The following is an 18,502-nucleotide window of genomic DNA, read 5'->3' as shown; positions in this document are numbered from 1 at the left end:
CCACCTTGGCCTCCCAAAGTGCTGGGATTACAGGTGTGAGCCACCGTGCCCAGCCAACACTTTGTTTCTCTAAGTTTTACTCAGTCATCTGCTTGGTGGGAACACTCAGGATTGAAGTGAGATCACATATTTATAAATGTGAACATGTTGTTAGGGGAAAGGATGAGAAGCAATGATATACAGTACATTCTCTGTTTAGAAAATGTAACAGAAACAGGGAGTTTGGGGAAGGGAGAGATTTAAATCAGTCACATGGGATTTTTTTAGGGTGGTGGAACTATTTTGTCTGAGACTATAATGGTGGGTACATGACACCATGCATGTGTTATGTACAGCACAGAGTGGAATTTAACATGTTCAGAATTTTTAAAATGATATCAGGAGTGTGGGGATTCCAGGATGGAATGCAGAGTGACAAAATAATCTAACTGTATTACAAATGTATGCAATAACCTCACTGAAGGGGGCCAGAGAAAAGGTGTTGACCTGAGTAACTTTGGAAATGAGACCGTAAGACTAAAGGCAATGGGAACTGTACATAAGCACTATACTGCAGTTGATAAAGTTTCCTGTGGCAGTATGGGGTAATAATTCTGAAACCACTATACAGGTGTACTAGAATCGAACAATTATTAACTGGATGGTGATGATAGGAACCAGGTTTCTTACTGTTGGAGTAGAAGGCTATAGACAAGCAAGAAGGGAAGGCTGGAGTTATCTGTGTGGTAATAGATTAGAGTTGGAGCTAGTAGTATGAACTCTAGTTTAATATAGATACAGATGAATGCATATAGAAACACATTATATATAGATATATGTATATACTTGGTTTATTATGCACACCTATATTTCCTTGCTTTGTCCCTTGAGAGGACTGAGAAGCAAGGACAACCTAGTAGCAAGGAACACACCTGGTGCCCAGACCATTCTCTAATAAAAGGAACAAAGATTCTTTGTAGAAATGGCTGTTTCTAGGACTAGATCAAGGAATACACAAAATGAGTGCCAGAAAGTAAGCAAGTGCTAAAAACAAAAACACAGTGATGGAACTATGTCAAAAGGAATATAGGAGCCAACTGAAAGAGGATTTTTTTTTTTTTTTGAGACAGGGTCTCACTCTGTCACGCTGCGTGACTATACTCATACTGGAGTATACTCATACCGGACTATACTTATACTGGAGTATAGTCACCCAGGCTGGAGTACAGTGGCATGATCTCGGCTCACTGCAGCCTCCGCCTCCTGGGGTCAAGCAGTCTTCCCACCTCAGCCTCCCAAGTAGCTGGGGCCACAGGCACATGCTACTATGCCTGGCTAATTTTTTGTATTTTTGGTAGAGATGGGGTTTCGCCATGTTGTCCAGACTGGTCTTGAACTCCTGAGCTTAGGTGATCCTCCAGCTTCGGCCTCCCAAAGTGCTGGGATTATAATCCCAGGCATAAGCCACCATGCCTGGCTTGAAAGAGCTCTTAATGGCCAAAGCTCAAAATAATTTGAGCAGCAAAATAACTGTTAGTATTTAGTTATAACATGAAGTATAACATAAGTATCCCTGGTCTGTACTGATATAAATAAAGGATTGAATAAATAAATGAATGGGAGAGAAGAGACAAATCGTCCATGCAAAAGAATTCCAAATATTTTGTGTAGATATTCTGCCCTTAAGGAGGTAGAGCCTAAGTGCCCACTTTTTAAATGTGGGCTCTGCATAATGATTTCCTTCCAAAGAGTACACTATGTAAAAGGGGCATATACCTTAACAGTGGGGAGAAACCTGTTAAACCCCGACTAGTATACCTCAAAACTGTCAAGGTCTTCATAAACAAGGAAAATCTGAGATACTGTCAGAATAAATAGGAGCCTAAGAAGATATGATGACATGGCCGGGTGCGGTGGCTCACACCTGTAATCCCAGCACTTTGGGAGATTGACACGGGTGGATCATGAGGTCAGGAGATCGAGACCATCCTGGCTAACACAGTGACACCCCATCTCTACTAAAAATACAAAAAATTAGCCGGGCATGGTGGCGGGCACCTGTAGTCCCAGCTACTCGGGAGGCTAAGGCAGGAGAAAGGCGTGAACCCAGGAGGCGGAGCTTGCAGTGAGCCGAGATTGCGCCACTGCGCTCCAGCCTGGATGACAGAGTGAGACTCCATCTCAAAAAAAAAAGACATGATGACATGATCTCATGTAATAAGGGGTCCCGGAACAGAAAAAGGACATTAGATAAAAATTAAGGAAATTGAATAAAGTATGGACTTAAGTTTATAATAATGTATTACTATTGAGTTGTTAATTATAATAAATATACCATAATAATGTAAGATTTAATAGTGGGGGAAACTATATCACATATATGGAAACTCTCTGTACTATCTGTAACATTTTTATAAATCTGAAATTAAAAGTTTACTTTAAAAATGCAGCAGGAATATGGTAGACACCACTATATAGGGATAGCACAACTTAGTAATTAAGAAGATGAACTCACGTACCAGCCTGCCTGGGTTCAGATCTCAGCCTCACTGCTTAGTATCTGTGTAACCCTGGCTACCTTAAGTAACTAGAACTACTTAACTTCTCTGTGCTTCAATTTCTTTATCTGTTAGTGAAGATTCTTGGGAGGACTAAATGAATTTGTGTGTGTGTGCATGTGTATGACTTGGAGTAGTGCCTAGCACAAAGCAAACCTTATATAATTGTTTGAATCTATTTATTATTACTACTTTTGTTCTTTAGTTTTGGTGATTATGGCTAAATTTCACTGCATCTCTCTTCTTCAGCATACTGATTTTTAGCTTGGCACTCCAACAGAACAGTATCCATAATACTTTGTTTTCATGGGGAAAATCATCGAGATTATAAAGATTCAAGAGAAAGCAGGACCAGAACTTGAGAATCCCCAACCCAGTTTCATGCTTCATATATAGCACTGACTTAGTGAAAGCTACAAAGCCTGACAGGATCTACTTTTTATGGGCATAGACATGCCACACATAGAAATTCTAAGTTAATTTTATTTGGTTTTCAGTAGATTTCTTACTAAGATATCCACTTCCCTTGTTAAGCTGATGTTCTTTTTGGGAAAAGCACTGCCTGCAATGCAAACCCCTCAGATGTAGGGTTCAGCATCTAAAATTTAGATGACATTTGAAGCAAAAGTGGGATGTATTATGGAAACATGTATTTCCGGTCTTTTACCTCTCTGCTAAAATTCATGCCAACTCTTTAGAAAACTTCTGATGGATCAGCAGCTCAGATGGAATAGCGTACTAAGTAGAACATAGAATCTGGAGTCAGGAGCCTGCTTGGAGAGTGGGCTCTTGTGGCTATGTGACCAAGTGCTCGAGCCTCAGCTCCTGCATCTGTACAACAGTGATAACAGAAATGCTTTTCCCACCCTTGTCCCTCACTTACAGGATAGTTGAAGATCAGATGTGAAAATGAATGTGAGAGCTTTTGTAAGTTATAAAATCTGTACAAATAAGATCTGTTAGAGTGGTTCTCAGATTTTCAACCAGAGTAAAGGCTAATGGAGCTTTATAGCCATATTAAGTGTTGCAGCCATCTGGACACCTTTAATTATTAAGTAATAAGGTGAAATCGTTGAACTTAAAATGCTCTTGATGGAAAATTTTCTCACAGCACTTTAGTTTTTAGGATGTTTCTCTTTGGCATAATAAAGGAAGGCATTGTTTTAGTCTGGAATTGTCTGTTTGAGGTGGCAGTTTGAGGAAATGGTTCCCAAAGTCTTCACTGAAATTAGCTGGAGAATACAAAGGTGAATCCCTGTGATATGGGAAGCTACCTACCTCCTTTGGACACAGATCCTCTTGTCCTGGTGTAGAGATGACCAGCAGAGGGTGCACGAGCTTTCCTAGGAGCTGACTCCAGCTTCAGCAGCAAGGCTGGGCAGACCTGACTGGTACCATCTGTGTTTTCTGTCTGATGATTAACAAGTACTATAAATGAAACGATCCTGGCGCGTCAGAAACACAGTCATCAAATGGAAAGAGAGAGCAGCCATAATGTCAAACAACAGTGTAGCAAGTGCCTGCCATAGTTGATGAATAGGAGGTTTCTAGATAACTGGAATTCAGCATTCTAGCATGGGCTGTTGGTTTCCCACATTCTCCTGTTACCCTTTTCCTTTTCTAATAATTTCTTTCTACTTCCTGGTTCTTTGCTCCACCTTAATCAGCATCCATAATCATCTGCCTTACCCAGTCTGACAATTAGAGGTCTTTTAAGCAACTCTTCTCTGGACATTTACCCTTGGCTATTTGGGTCCAGAATCCAGCATTCTAGTGTTGCTGTCACCTACTGCCTATTATACCATCTTTTATTCCCTAGAGTGGATCCTCTACTCATGAGTATTATATAGAATTTGTATATTTAGTGATTTTAAAATATTTTTATATTTTCTAATTATAAAGGTAATTTGGGTTTACATAGAAAAAAGAATATTTTAGGCCAGGCGTGGTAGCTAATGCCTGTAATCCCAGCACTTTGGGAGGCCAAGGCGGGTGGATCACAAGGTCAGGAGTTCAAGACCAGCCTGGCCAACATGGTGAAACCCCACCTGTACTAAAAATACAAAAATTAGCCAGGCATGGTGACAGGGGCCTATAATCCCAGCTACTTGGGAGGCTGAGGCAGAGAATTGCTTGAACCCGGGTGGCAGAGGTTGCAGTGAGCCAAGATCGCGCCACTGCACTCCAGCCTGGGCAACAGAGTGAGACTCTGTCAAAAAAAAAAAAAAAAAAAAAAAGATTTCGAGATATATTAAGAAGAAAATGCAAGGAAGATCTGTGAGCCTTTCAATCAGTGACAACTGCTATAAATTCTACTAGACTTTCCCTATGCATATGCATGTTTCTTGGTATATAGACATTAATTTTTTAAGATGAGACCGTACTATAAATACTATCTTGTACCTGACTTTTTTTTTCTACCTAATAAATCATGGACATCTTTTCATACCATGTTAGTTCATTTTCATCCTGCTGATAAAGACATACCCCAGACTGGGTAATTTATAAAGAAAAAGAGGTTTAATGGACTCACAGTTTCATGTGGCTGGGGAGGCCTCACAATCATGGCAGAAGGCAAAAGGCACAGTTTACATGGCAGCAGGCAAGAGAGAGAATGTGAGCCAAGTGAAAGGGGTTTCCCCTTATAAAACCATCAGATCTCGTGAGACTTATTCACTACCACGAGAATAGTATGGGAGAAACCGCCCCCATGATTCATTTATCTCCCACCAGATGCCTCCCGCAACATGTGGGAATTATGAGAGCTACAATTCAAGATAAGATTTGGGTGGAGACACAGCCAAACCATATCACATACCAATAAATTTAGGGTTTTAGTAACCTTTTTTTTTTTTTTCAGAAACAGAGCCTCACTCTGTCACCTAGGCTGGAGTGCAGTGGTGCAATTATGGCTCACTGCAGTTTCAACCTCCCAGATTCCAGTCATCCTCCTGCCTCAGCCACCCAAGAAGCTGGGACCACAGGTACACACCACCATGCCCAGCTAATTTTTTAATTTTTTGTAGAGATGGGGGTCTCACTATGTTTCCCAGTCTGGTCTTTAACTCCTGGCCTCAAATGATCTGCCTGTCTTGGCCTCCCAAAGTCCTGGGATTACAGGTGTGAGCTACTGGGGCCAGCCTTTAGCAAGATGTTTTTTTTTTTTTTTGAGACGGAGTTTCGCTCTTGTTGCCCAGGCTGGAGTGCAGTGGTGCGATCTCAGCTCACCGCATCCTCCGCCTCCCGGGTTCAAGCAATTCTCCTGCCTCAGCCTCTCGAGTAGCTGGGATTACAGGCATGTACCACCACACCCAGCTAATTTCGTATTTTTAGTAGAAATGGGGTTTCTCCACGTTGGTCAGGCTGGTCTCAAACTCCCAGCCTCAGGTGATCCGCCCACCTTGGCCTCTCAAAGGGCTGGAATTACAGGGATGAGCCACTGTGCCTGGCTTTAGCAACATTTTTAAGCAGCTACATAATTTTCCTTTCTATGCATGTACAATAATTTAGTCAGTCTTCTAAAAATTAATATTTGTATTGTAGTTTTTCAGTGTAATATACAAATAATGCTATGACAAATCCTTAATATATTCTTCTGATTATATCCATAGGATATATTTTTAGAAACGAAATTTTCTTTCTAATTTTTTCTTTAAAATTTTCATATGTATTACCAAAGCCCCCTCAGGAAAGGTCTCTCAGTTCAGTGCCCCCTCAGTTTGCCAGAATGCCTGTTCCTGCACACCATTTATCACAGTGTTTTTACCTTCGCCAAAATGACAGAAGATTATTTTACTGTTTTCTGTGTGATGGGCTTTCCGCTATCCATATCACCCAGAAAATTAATCTAAGGCAGCGAGTCTCCAGCTTTTTGGTCTCAGGACCTCTAGACACTAAAAAATTATAAAGGCTCCAAAGAACATTTGTTTATGTGGCTTGTAGCTATGGATATTTACTACATTTGAAATGTAACCTAAGAAAAAATTAATTGTTTAAATATTTATTAAATCTTTTTTATCACAACACCTGTAAAAACTGCATTATTAAGTGATTTAAAAATAAGACTAATAAACCCATTGTATGTTATTATGGCATATTTTTATAAAAAATATTTTCCAAAAGAAAAATATTAGAAGAATGGCATTGTTTTACATTTTTTGCAAATCTCAATGTCTCACCTAAGAGATGACTGGATTCTTATATCTGTTTCTGCATTAAGTCTGTTGTGATATGTTGTTCTGGTTGATATATGTGAAGAAATCTGATCTCACACAGATATATTTTATAAGTGGTTAGAAAGGGGAGGAGTGCTTTGTCTCTTCAGATGAATATGGGTATTCTACTTTACTACTACACCAAATCCCAGTAAGTGGTAGTATCTTAAAGGTTAATTGCAATATTACAATTTGAAGCCTTGTCAGTGAATTTTTCATATTCTGCTACATTAAAATCCATTGGTCTGTCTTGTATTATACTTTGACTGGATCTTTAGCCCGTGCTTGATTTTGTATCATCTTATGTTGGTCATCTGGAAAATACTGGCTCATTGAGTTGTATAGGTCTTCCAAATGTTGACACATTTCATTTTATAGTGCCAAAAATATCTTGTTCTCATCTGAACAGTGTTTAAGAATTAGAAAGCTGTTAGGCTTATAGTGGTGAACACAGGTTTTCCAGAATTCTAATTTTTGCTTAAAAGCTTAAATTTTATCAAAGGCAACAAATGGTGTCAGTTGTTTTCTTGGCAGTCTTACTTCATTTATTTTTGAGAAAATACCAAAGTTAAAATGATGCTCTGTGAAAACAATTTTTATTGCTTCATCAAGGAAATGCTTACGTGAAACTGCCTTTTTTTTTTTTCTGTGAGTCCATAGTTGGTGAAGAAGACAGTGATCTTCTGTATAGTTTGATGCCACTGTTTTGATTTAGGCAAAGGTGCTAATGCTTTTATCCACATTGCCTGTGCACCATTGGTGCAAATGGCACTACAGTGTTTTTTTTTTTTAAGGCAAATAATATGTTGATATTATCATGAAAATAATTTTAGCCTTTTGAAGACTGCCTAAAGGGGGGTAGGGTTCCCCAGGAATTCGTGAACCATACTCTGAGAACTTCTAGTTTAAGATTCTCTTACCAGAGATTGATTTGGGAATAGTTTGTGACCAAATTCTGGCCAGTGAAATCTGAGAGCAAGTCTGGCTGGGAAGTTGTGGATAAGTTTCCTCCTCCCTAAAAAGAGACACAGAAAGAGATGGTCCTTTTCTTTTGCTGGATGTTGCCATGTCTGTGTGATGCTTGGGACTGCTGCAGCCATTTTGTAATTGACAGAGGGACTTAGCCTTAGGATGAAGGTGATGCTGCGGAGAGCAGGATGGAGAAATGGCAGGAACCTGGATCCTCGATGACATTGTAGAATAGCAGATGAAACCTTACCTGGAACTTGCCCAATCTTTGGGCTTTCAGTTATGACAGATATTATTTCCTTATCATTTAAGCCACTTTGAGTAGTGCCTTCTGTTATTTGCAGTCAAAAGAATCCTAAAGAGACATTTATTATTAGTGTGATGAACAGTTTCAAGTGTCTAGTGGCCATCTGCATTTCTTTAGTAAATGCTTATTCATAGCATTAGCACATTTCCTGCTGAGGTCATTTCTACTTATTATTTTCTAAGCATTCCTTATAAACTAACACATTGTAATATTTTGCAGGTTATTTCCACCAGTGTCTTTTATAGCATATTTTCCCATACATTTAAATGTAAGCAATCTATTTGTCTTGTTCTCCTTTTTTAAATAGTTTGTGGCTTTGGTATCATGTTTAAGAGTCTTTTTTACCCCATTTTTTGGGAAAATATTCACTTTTTTCCTAGACTAATAAAGATTTAATTTTTCACATTTAAAAGTTTAACTCATCTGGAATTTATTTTGATGTTAGATATGGAGTAGCGATGTACCTTTTTTTTCCAAACGGGTGGCCCTTTTCTTAATATACATCTTTGAATAGGCCAGCTCTAACCCACTAATTTGAAATACTAACTTTATTACAAATGGAATTCTTATATATGTATTCTAACTCGTTTCTGGACTTTCTATTCTGTTCCATTTGCTTTGACTGTATCTCCTGTGTTAGAGGTATGCCCAAGACTTATCTGTTTGACAGTGTGTTGTAATGTCTGGAAGGACAGGTACACACCATCCCCCAACTCCACCCAACACAATCACATCACTCTTTCTCCCTGTAGTATTTTTCTGGTGCTTCCTGCATGTTTATTTGTCCAGATGAACTTTTAAATTATTTGTTAAAGTTCTCCCAAAACATTTTTGGAATTTCTGTTGGAATTACTTTAATTTTATAGATGATTTGGTGAGAATTTATATTTTTACAGTATTGAATCTTCAGCCCCAGAAACCCATGTACTGTCTTCCTACTTATTAAAATTGTCTTCCATGTCCCTCTGTACAGTTGTATAGCTTTCTTCATATTGGTCTTGTATATTTCTGGCTAGGTTTATTCCTAGGTATTTCATATTATTTTATGTTGAATTTGTAGAGGGATCTTTCCCACTGTATATGTTCCATTTAAATAAAAACACTTTTTAAAAACATCCAGCTCATATTTCCAGATAACTTTGGCTTCTTAGAAAAGAGTAACATTTAAGGATATTATCTAAGTAATATCTAAAGATACTATCATTTGTGGTATTACAGTATGTACTATGTGAACTGGATTTATGAGGTATGACTGCTTAAGACTGTTCAAGGAAATAACATACCAGAAGCTGTATCTTAATGAGTATTATTCTTCCAAGCTGTTTATGTCAGGAGTTTATACATGTATGGCAACAAGAACAACAACTTACTCTGAAAGCAAAAGGTATTCTTCTAAAGCAAAGAGTTTGCCATCATTGAGGATATGAAAAAGAACAATAGCTTGCTATGAGGACATTATCTGAAAATGGAATTTCAAAAATGTTTTGCTATTATTGGAATAAATAGTAATCTCTTAAAGTCACTTATTTGAAGGGACAGCACTTATTTTGAGGTACAGGTTTAGTTTTTAGCTAAACAACATTAGTACCTTCTAGACACATCTTAGGTTGTCAGGTGGCAGGGAGTTGGTTGACAGGTTTTATGTGTTTTGTTGTTGTTTGGAAAGAATCATATTTAATCAGATTGTTTTTGTATTAAATAAGATTCGAGTTGCCCCAGGCAGTGTGGATTGGCAATGTTTCAGCTATTTGGGAAAATAGGATTTGCCAGTTTTCTAAGACCATTTAAAATAAACAAGGACATTTCTTTTCATCCACGTTATGGATTTAAAAAGCATGTGTGGACTAGCCTGGTTTCTTAATCACCATTTAAAATGTTCCTATAGAAAATGTGGTTCTGAGCTCTTAACAACTGTCTTACAAATGAGCGTAGGAATAAGACCGTTCATAGGTGAAAGATTACTAAGGTTTCTCTATATGATGTATTCCTTGGAGATTAAGAACATAATTAATATTCTCAATTATTCTTTAGCAGCTTGCTGTGACATTATTATTCATGGGCTTTTCTAAACCTTTCTTAAATTTATTGATTTTTTTAAGTTTATATAGTTTCCTGGGATAAGGTTTACTTCTTTGTGGGTGAGGAGTCTGGCTCTAGGTCGAAATTCCACATGTGATCTTTCCGGCCTGACCGTAGACAATTACAAGGCTCTGCCTGGAGGGCCTCATGGGGAGAAGCTGCCTTCCCCACACCATAGTTGGTGCACAGCTAGAACATTGCAGTTTCCTGGAGGGGCTGTAGTCTAGGAATCAGCCCCCTGCATTCCTAGCCCAGATGCCTCCATTCAGAGGACTTCCTTCCATTCCAGGCTCCCCTCTCTGCCCTGCCGCGTCCCTGACCACCTCCACCCCAGGGGTCCATTTAGAAAAGCGAGAGCCTTCTCCCACCCCTCCTTGACAGTAAGACAATTTCCCCATCTATGCCGTGTCTACTTGATCCTCACCCAGTGCTGCCATTCAGTGGGGGAGAAAGGAAAGCTGGGGAGCTAGCATTTCTTTTTGCCTCCCGCTTGCACTGTTGCAGAAAGTAAGACTTGATTGTTACTTTCATTTTAGCTTGTGGTCCTAACTGACTGCCTCAGTACCTGATTGCTAGACAGTGGGAGGTGGGAGGGTGTTCGTAATTATTTATTAATTTTATTTTGTGGGATTTTTTTTTCTGTTTTAGTTTTAAGAGGTGCCCCTTAGAAATGTTTCCGGAATTTGTTGAATAATAATTTGACTTTACATTTGTAAGGCACTATGTAGTTTATAATTTTCTTTGTAAGAACTTTGTGACTTAAGAATTCTCTCAATTTTACGAACGCACTGATAGGCGTAAGCAAAGTGACTTTCCCTAAAAAATCATGAACTGACAACAGACTTAATCTCAACTTCAAGTCCCGGCTTAGCCACCTATTAAGTGACTTGAACTTGGGACTAAGCCTGTTGTCGGTTCAGCCCTCTACTATACCATCCTGCTTCATTGGTAAATTAGTCTTTTGTCTTCTTGAAAAGTTGGGACTACTTAGGGCTGTTCAAATTAAGCAGCATCTTAGTGGAAGGCTTGATCCTGTGGTATTCACAAAGCCCTGTGGAAATTGTGAGGAGAGGCAGACTAATGATAACAGCAAATGGGTTAGCACTGATTGAACACTTACCACGCACCCAGCACTAAGCTACATGTGTTACCTCCCAGAAGCTTCCTATCTTTGGAAATAACCTTATTAGCCACATTTTATTAAAGAAATTGAGACTAGCGAAGTTAGGTATCATGCCAGAGGTTGTAAAACTAAGACAACCTCTGGTAGTGATACAGCCTGTGGTAGTAAGTGGCAGATCCTGAACCAACCTAGTCCATACCCTTCAGCGCCACCTGAAATTGCTTTCTGCAGAGAATTGAGATGACTCTGCCCTACTTAGGGATATTTCTGCTATTAAGGAGCAGTAAGAGTAGAATTCCCAGCAGCTGGTCACGGTGGCTCACACCTGTAATCCCAGCACTTTGGGAGGCCGAGGTGGGTGGATCACGTGAGATCGGGAGTTTGAGACCAACCTGACCAACATGGAGAAACCACATCTCTACTAAAAATAAAAAAAGCCAAGCGTGGTGGTGCATGCCTGTAATCCCAGCTACTCGGGAGGCTGAGGCAGGAGAATCACTTGAACTGGGGAGGCGGAGGTTGCGGTGAGCCAAAATCTTGCCATTGCACTCCAGCCTGGGGAACAAGAGTGAAACTCCATCTCAAAAAAAAAAAAAAACAAAAAAACTGTAGAATTCTCTGGAACAGAATTTTCTAATACTATTTCTAAATGCTGAGAAATAAATCTCTGTTTAAAGGAAAAATATTCTCAGGTCCCTCAGTTGACTTAAAATATTCTTACTATGTTGTTTATGAACACAAATCCAGGTATAAGCTCCTTGTACATAGAGCTCCTATTCAGCCACAAAATCAAAATAAGTACAAGTACAACCACAAAACCAATAAAACTCGAATTAACAGCGGTATAGTGTGACTGCTGATGTTTTACTGAAAATAAATTGCAACTCTCATTATAAAGAAGCTACTGACCATCATCATGCAGGTTCTTTTGACTTCAGCCCATCTGTGCTGTTGTGTGCTATGTGTCTTCCCAATTCCCTCACCACTTTTCTCTATTCAAAATACTGCAGAATCTTTTTACAGTGTGCTGTATACTCAGATGCATCATTTATGTATTACATCTGTGCTGCTTATTGCCAGCAAGATCATAAATGCAAACACAGACACTGAAATCAAGTAGCAGTTATACATGGCTCCTATTGAATTTTAGATTATTATCATAATAAAAATGCGATTTAAATAATTGTCATAGGACCTTGGTTGGACAAACCCTGTTTTAGCAGATGTGTCCAGTGGGGGACTGTTCCTGAAGAGCAAGGGATGGAGATCTATTATAATGACTTTCAGAAGATTAACATAAGATGGTGGACGGGAGTCCATGTTTTAGCTTTTGTCAATACTAAAAGCTTTCTCTTTCATAGGCATTTGTGGCCTTGTGGTTTTGGCCACACTGTAAGAGCCTCTCGTTCAAAGCAGTAGTTCCTTCTCATTGTTACAGTGTTTACTGTTTTTGTTACTAGGTGAGATGGGTTAAAAAAAAAACTTAGAAGGCCTCATTCCTAACCAGTACCTCCTATCTGTCTTCTCCCTCCCCTGTTTCTTTCCATTTCCCCCCCGCTTTTAGAGTCCGGGTCTTGCCCTGTCACCTAGGCATGATCAAGGCTCACTGCAGCCTCAAAATCCTGGGCTCAAGTGATCCTCCCACCTCAGCCTCCCAAGTTGCTGGGTCCCTCCCCTTGTTTCTTTTAAACCCAGACTCTAGCCACTTTAAGTCCATCAGCTCCTCCAATTCCTTCTACCCTCCTCTTCCCTCTCTATTATTTTTTTCCCAGTCAGCATGGGCTTACTCTGTGGTTACTAGTTATATTTTCCTTCACTTCCACCATCTTAAATCACCATTGCTTTCCATACTACAAGCCTAAATAGTCCTAATCCAGATCAAACCAAATATTTCGCCCCACAAACTAGGTAGTAGAGGAAATCAATAACTGCCCTATCAGTTAGGTTACTTTTGGTAGCAGATAACAGAAAACTCAGATGGCTTAAACAATTAAGAAATGTATTGGCTCGATAACTGAAAAAAAAAAAAGAGGAATTTAATCCAACTACTTAACAATGGGACTTATGAACCTCTTTTTAGCTTCCTAGTTTTCTTGCCTCATAGTTGGCTTCATCCTATATTTGTACCATGCATACCTAACGTTAGGCCCACTCATGGCTCCAAGGTGGCTTTTGTTATGGACTGCATTGTGTCCCCCTAAATTCATATGCTGAAGGCCTACCCCACAATGTGACTTTATTTAGAGATGGGCCTTTATGGAGGTAATAAAGATCAAGTGAGGTCTTAGGAGTGAGGCCCTAATTCAATAGAACTGGTGTCCTTATAAAAAGAGGAGAAGATATCTCTCCCTCTGCGAATGCACAGAGGCCATTGGAGGACACAATGAGAAGGTGGCTGTCTACAAGCCAGGAACCAAATCAGCCAGCACTTTGATATGGGACTTCTAGCCTCCAGACCTGTGAGAAAATAAAATTTCTGTTGTTTAAGCAACCTAGTCTATGATATTTTGTTGTGGCAGCCCAAGCTGACCAATATAGCTTTCAACAGCTTTGGGGCTGTTGAAAAAGCCCCTCTTTCATACATAACAGGTGCTTCCTCTTTCATACCTAATAGGTATTAAAAATTATCTTTGTTCCCAGATCTCTAGCAGTAAAACAGAAAGGTACTCTGTTGGACAGGTTTGGCCACATGCCCACTTCCTAACCAATCACTATGCCCAGAGGTATAGAAGTGTGCCGATTGGCTTAGCATAGGGTATATGTTCACCTCTGGCTTCAATCATGTCCACTCTGGCCTCTCAGAAAATGTACAGATTTCAAGTCCATGAGCTATGGGAAGTAGGGAGTGAATACTTGAGAGACAACCAATAAATAACCACTAATTTGAGCTGCATCTTTAGATAGGCAACTTATGTTCATTGACATTCTTTTATTCAAATGTTGTTAGTGTCCTTTCCCATTTTTTTTCTGTTCCTCCTTTTCTCATGCCCCCTACCTTACAGCCTCTTACTTCACGAAGAAGAGCTCATTGGGAAAGGAGTGTCTTAGCCATCTTCTCTTCTACTACAAACTCACCTGTTCTTACTCTTCAGAGCATAAAGTTGTTCTAGATACCTCACATAGCTGATGTGTTTTCTGTGTACTTATTTCCCCTTTCTTTGGCCTACTTATTCTCAAAACTTGTTTTGTCAGCAATTTTCTTTTTTCAGTATCTTCAGTCTTTGTGTGTGTGTGTTCTCTCATCCTACAATGATACTCAAGAATCTTTGCAGCTTAACAAATACCCTTCTTTCACCTACATGATCCCTCAAAATACAGCCCAACTTCTCTCCTTTTCTCTCCTCTGCCTGTCAGTCATCTACATTCATTACCTCCTTTACTCCAGTGACTTATATATTGATTAAACTGTTTTCTGCTGGCAGAGCCAGGTTTCAAATCACCTTGATAAAGGTCATCACTGATTTCCTACATTTCTAAAACCAATTGTTTATTTTTGGCTTCTTTTAATATTCTTTAGTATTGAGTCCCATAAACTAACCCCTCTTCTTCCTAAATATCAGTATTACCATTAGTTCCATCTGCCCTATTTTTTTTTCTTGATCAGTCCCTCTCGACTTCAGCCACCACCTGTAAAACCAGGACTTGATTCCCAGATACACATCTCTAGCACCTACCACTCACATGAATTCATTTCTAAGTACCTATTGGGGCTATCCATTTGAATATATTGTAGGATCCTTAAAGTTTGTCATGTGCAAATTGAACTCATTATCTTCCCTTCCCTACCTTCATCCCACCATTATCTAGCCTTTTTGCCTGTGTGTATGAACTCTGTTTTGAATACCATCAACATCTACTCAGCCATGCAAGCCAGAAACCTTGTCTCCTGTTTCACTGCACACAACTTTTACATCTAGTCATTGCAAGAAATTCATTGATTCTCCCTCTGAAGTGTGACTTGAATATGTGCCCTCGTTGATACTCATGGCCACTGTTTTCTTTAGCTGTCATGATCTAATAGTCTTAGTGTGTAGCCCTGGGCCTCTTTCTCTTCTCATTAATTCTGTATCTGAGTGGTTCTCAATCCTCAATGTACACCAAGATTGTATGGGGAGATTTTAAATGCTACACATGCCCTGGTCCCAGAACTTTGATTTTCATTGATCAGTCATCGGTAGTATAAGGCCATTATAATATATATAAATACATTTTGTAAGTCTTTATAATCTTTATAAATAATGTCTCCCATTATCCATGGTTTCACTTTCCATGGTTCATTTACCCACTGTCAACCATAGTCTGAAAATATTACATGGAAAATTCCAGAAATAAACAAGGCAGAAGTTTTAGACTGCATGCCATTCTGAATAGCATGATGAAGTGTCACACCATCTCACTCTGTCCTGCCCAGGAAGTGAATCACTCTTTTGTCCAGTGTATCCACTCTATAAATTCTAACTACCCGGTAGTCATCATCTGCTCCTGACAGCCAGCCATTGACACCGTCATGGCTCCATGATCCAGGATTACCTGAAGCAGCTGATCGTCCTTCAGATGTAGGTCAATAGTAGCTTAACACTATGTCACGATGCCTGCATCATTCACCTCACTGCATCTTATCACGTAGGCATTTTATCATCTCACATCAACACAGGAAGGGTTAATACAGTATAATAAGATATTTTGAGAGAGAGGGAGAGACTATATTCACATAACTTATTGTATATTGTTACAAGTGTTCTGTTTTATTAGTTATTGCTAATCTCTTAAGCCTAATTTGTAAGTTAAACTATCATATATATATATATATATATATATATATATATATATATATATATATATGAGAAAGCATAGTATGTATAGGGTTTGTTACTATTCACAGTTTCAGGCATCCACTAGGGATCTTGGAACCTATCCCCTGCAGACAGGATGAGGAGGGGACCACTGAACAGATCTCATCATCTTGCTCTCTTATTTAAAATTCTGTTTGTTGCATTGCCTATGAGAAAATATTCAAACTGCTTAATTTGGTGTACATGAAGATTCCTATCTGGCCTCTGCCTAACTTTCCAGCCTTATAACCACCTCCCCACCCCACCTGTCTGCCCCTCACATCATAGTCTGTAGTCATACAAAATTATTTTGTTTTACATTTTTAATTTTAGAACACTTTTAGATTTATGAAGAAATTGTGAAGTTAGTATAGAGAGGTTCCATATAGTCCATACCCCGTCTCCCTTGTTAGTAACAGATTCGTATGGTACATTTGTTACAGTTAATGAACCAATATTGATACATTATTGTTAACTAAAGTCCATATTTTATTCACATTTCCTTACTTTTTACCTAATGACTTTTTTGAGTTCCAGGATTCCATCCAGGATACCACATTACATGTAGTCATCGTGTCTCCTTATTTTGCTTGGCTCTGGCAGTTTCTCAGACTTTCTTTGTTTTTGATGACCTTGACAGTTTGGGGAGTATTAGTCATATTTTATAGAATGTCTGTCAACTGGGGTTTATCTGATAGTTTTCTTATGATTAGACTGAAGTTATGGGGGTTGGGGAAGAAGAACATAGAGGTAAAGTGCTGTTTTTGTCACATCATATCAAGAATACATGCTATCAGCACTATCACTGTTCGTGTTAACCTTGATCACCTGGCTGAGGAAGTCTTTGTGAAGTTACTCCGCTGCAGAGTTATTTTTCCCCCTTTCCACACTGAACTCTTTTAGAAAGAAGTCACTATGTGCTGCCCACACTTAATGAGGAGTTATGTTCCACTTCCTTAAGGGAAGAGTATTTATTTACATAAATTATTCAGGACTATTTGCATGGACGATTTCTCTCTTCTCCCTCATTTATTTGTTTATTTAATCATTTATATCAGTATGGATACATGGATATTTATTTTATACTTTGGGTTGTAATCCAAAACTACTTTTTATTTTGTTGCTCAGAGTATTCTAGCTTTGGCCATTGGCTACACGTTCAGTTGGCTCCTGTGTCCTTTTGACAATACCCTCAGCACTGTAGGTTTTTTTGGTTTTTCGGGTGTATGTGTGTGCACTTCCTTACTTTCTGGCACTATAAGATGCTCTAGGCTCATGTTATATTCTCTGCCTCAATCCTAGAATCAGCCAGTTCTCCAAGCAGCCATGGTTCTGTTTTATTAGAGAATGGTTAGAAACGAAGATCTGGGTACTGGGTGTGCTTGTTGCCACCGGGATGTGATGACTTCTAGGCCCTCTCAGATGACAGAGTAAGGAAATATATGTGTGTATACTAATGAATGTATACATACATATCTACAGATATTTCTATATATAACGTATGTATATTAAGCTAAATATGAGTGCATACAAATGACTCGCATTCTAAGTCATTACCATATAGATTATTCTAGCCTTTTCTTCTCCCTTGTTTGTAACCTCCCACTCCAACAATGAGAAACCTGGCTTCTGCCAAGTATCACCTACTTCCTAATTGTTCAATTCTGATTTCCTTGTATACTGATTTCAGAATTGTTAACCCTTTATCAACTAGAGTACAGTGCTTATTACCATTCCTATTGCCTTCAGTTTTATAGGCACCATTCATATCCAGAATTATTTAGGTCAGCACCTTTTTCTATATTATTTTTATTCTCTGAATATTCCATGTTTTCACACCTGTTTAATCTTTATTTGTGCTAATCCTCCTGCCTGAAATTCCCTGGCTTTTACCCTTCTCTCCGTGGAATGTTACTCATTCTTCTATACCCAGCACAAATATTGCCTCTACCAGAAAGCTTCTCAGAGCCACCACTAGTAGACTTAATCTTTCATTCCTCTGTGCTCCAATAGCATTTTGTACTTACCTTTACTATATATCATGTCAGGATTCTTTGTTTGCATCTCTTTCTTCTTCACTTAATGGTAATTCTTGAGAGCAGAAACCAAATGGATTTGTCTCTGAAATCCCAGGACTTAACAATAATACATATTACGTAACAGAAAACCTAATAGTGGCTAAAATACAAAAGGATTTACTTTTTTCACCTAGCAAGAAGTCAGAGATAGACTATCATTGGTTTACCTGTTCAATGATGCCATCAAGAATCCAGGCTTTTTTCCTTCTTCCGTACATAGAAGTCTAAATGTGAAATGCCAGGTAAATAAGTTAAAACCAATTTCATTCTGGCCCAGTATAATGTGTTTGGAGACAACGTCCAGAGAAATAAGAATAGTTCAGATATTTTGGATTGAGATGGCTTTGAGATGAGCTTACATTA

General features: G+C 38.9%; 1 protein-coding gene across 11 annotated transcripts in view, besides 5 other annotated features; it reads left to right on the top strand.

The window, feature by feature from the left end:
* The window catches only part of METTL8 (methyltransferase 8, tRNA N3-cytidine), a 119,027-nt gene that overhangs the window by 14,649 nt on the left and 85,876 nt on the right, over positions 1-18,502 (top strand). For 4 of the 11 annotated variants that reach the window (NM_001321157.2, NM_001321162.2, NM_001321160.2 and 1 more), the window contains exon 2: positions 5,398-5,521. The exons of the other annotated variants lie outside the window; for them this stretch is intronic. In NM_001321157.2, the coding sequence (NP_001308086.1) occupies positions 5,398-5,521 (124 nt within the window). The remainder of the gene's footprint in view (positions 1-5,397; positions 5,522-18,502) is intronic. 11 annotated transcript variants of the gene reach the window in all.
* Positions 3,908-3,957: an enhancer, noted in NCBI's record as "active region_16755". NCBI's record gives its function as "activates an Ori minimal core promoter by ATAC-STARR-seq in GM12878 lymphoblastoid cells {active_cell/tissue: GM12878}" and the evidence as "EXISTENCE:reporter gene assay evidence [ECO:0000049][PMID:35858748]".
* Positions 3,968-4,077: an enhancer, noted in NCBI's record as "active region_16754". NCBI's record gives its function as "activates an Ori minimal core promoter by ATAC-STARR-seq in GM12878 lymphoblastoid cells {active_cell/tissue: GM12878}" and the evidence as "EXISTENCE:reporter gene assay evidence [ECO:0000049][PMID:35858748]".
* Positions 12,674-12,733: an enhancer, noted in NCBI's record as "active region_16753". NCBI's record gives its function as "activates an Ori minimal core promoter by ATAC-STARR-seq in GM12878 lymphoblastoid cells {active_cell/tissue: GM12878}" and the evidence as "EXISTENCE:reporter gene assay evidence [ECO:0000049][PMID:35858748]".
* Positions 13,561-13,660: an enhancer, noted in NCBI's record as "active region_16752". NCBI's record gives its function as "activates an Ori minimal core promoter by ATAC-STARR-seq in GM12878 lymphoblastoid cells {active_cell/tissue: GM12878}" and the evidence as "EXISTENCE:reporter gene assay evidence [ECO:0000049][PMID:35858748]".
* Positions 14,291-14,340: a silencer, noted in NCBI's record as "silent region_12101". NCBI's record gives its function as "represses an Ori minimal core promoter by ATAC-STARR-seq in GM12878 lymphoblastoid cells {active_cell/tissue: GM12878}" and the evidence as "EXISTENCE:reporter gene assay evidence [ECO:0000049][PMID:35858748]".

Source organism: Homo sapiens, chromosome 2, assembly GCF_000001405.40.
Source record: "Homo sapiens chromosome 2, GRCh38.p14 Primary Assembly".
NCBI lineage: Eukaryota > Metazoa > Chordata > Mammalia > Primates > Hominidae > Homo > Homo sapiens.
Note: the sequence above shows the minus strand (reverse complement) of the source record. Positions and strands in the feature narration are given on the sequence as shown.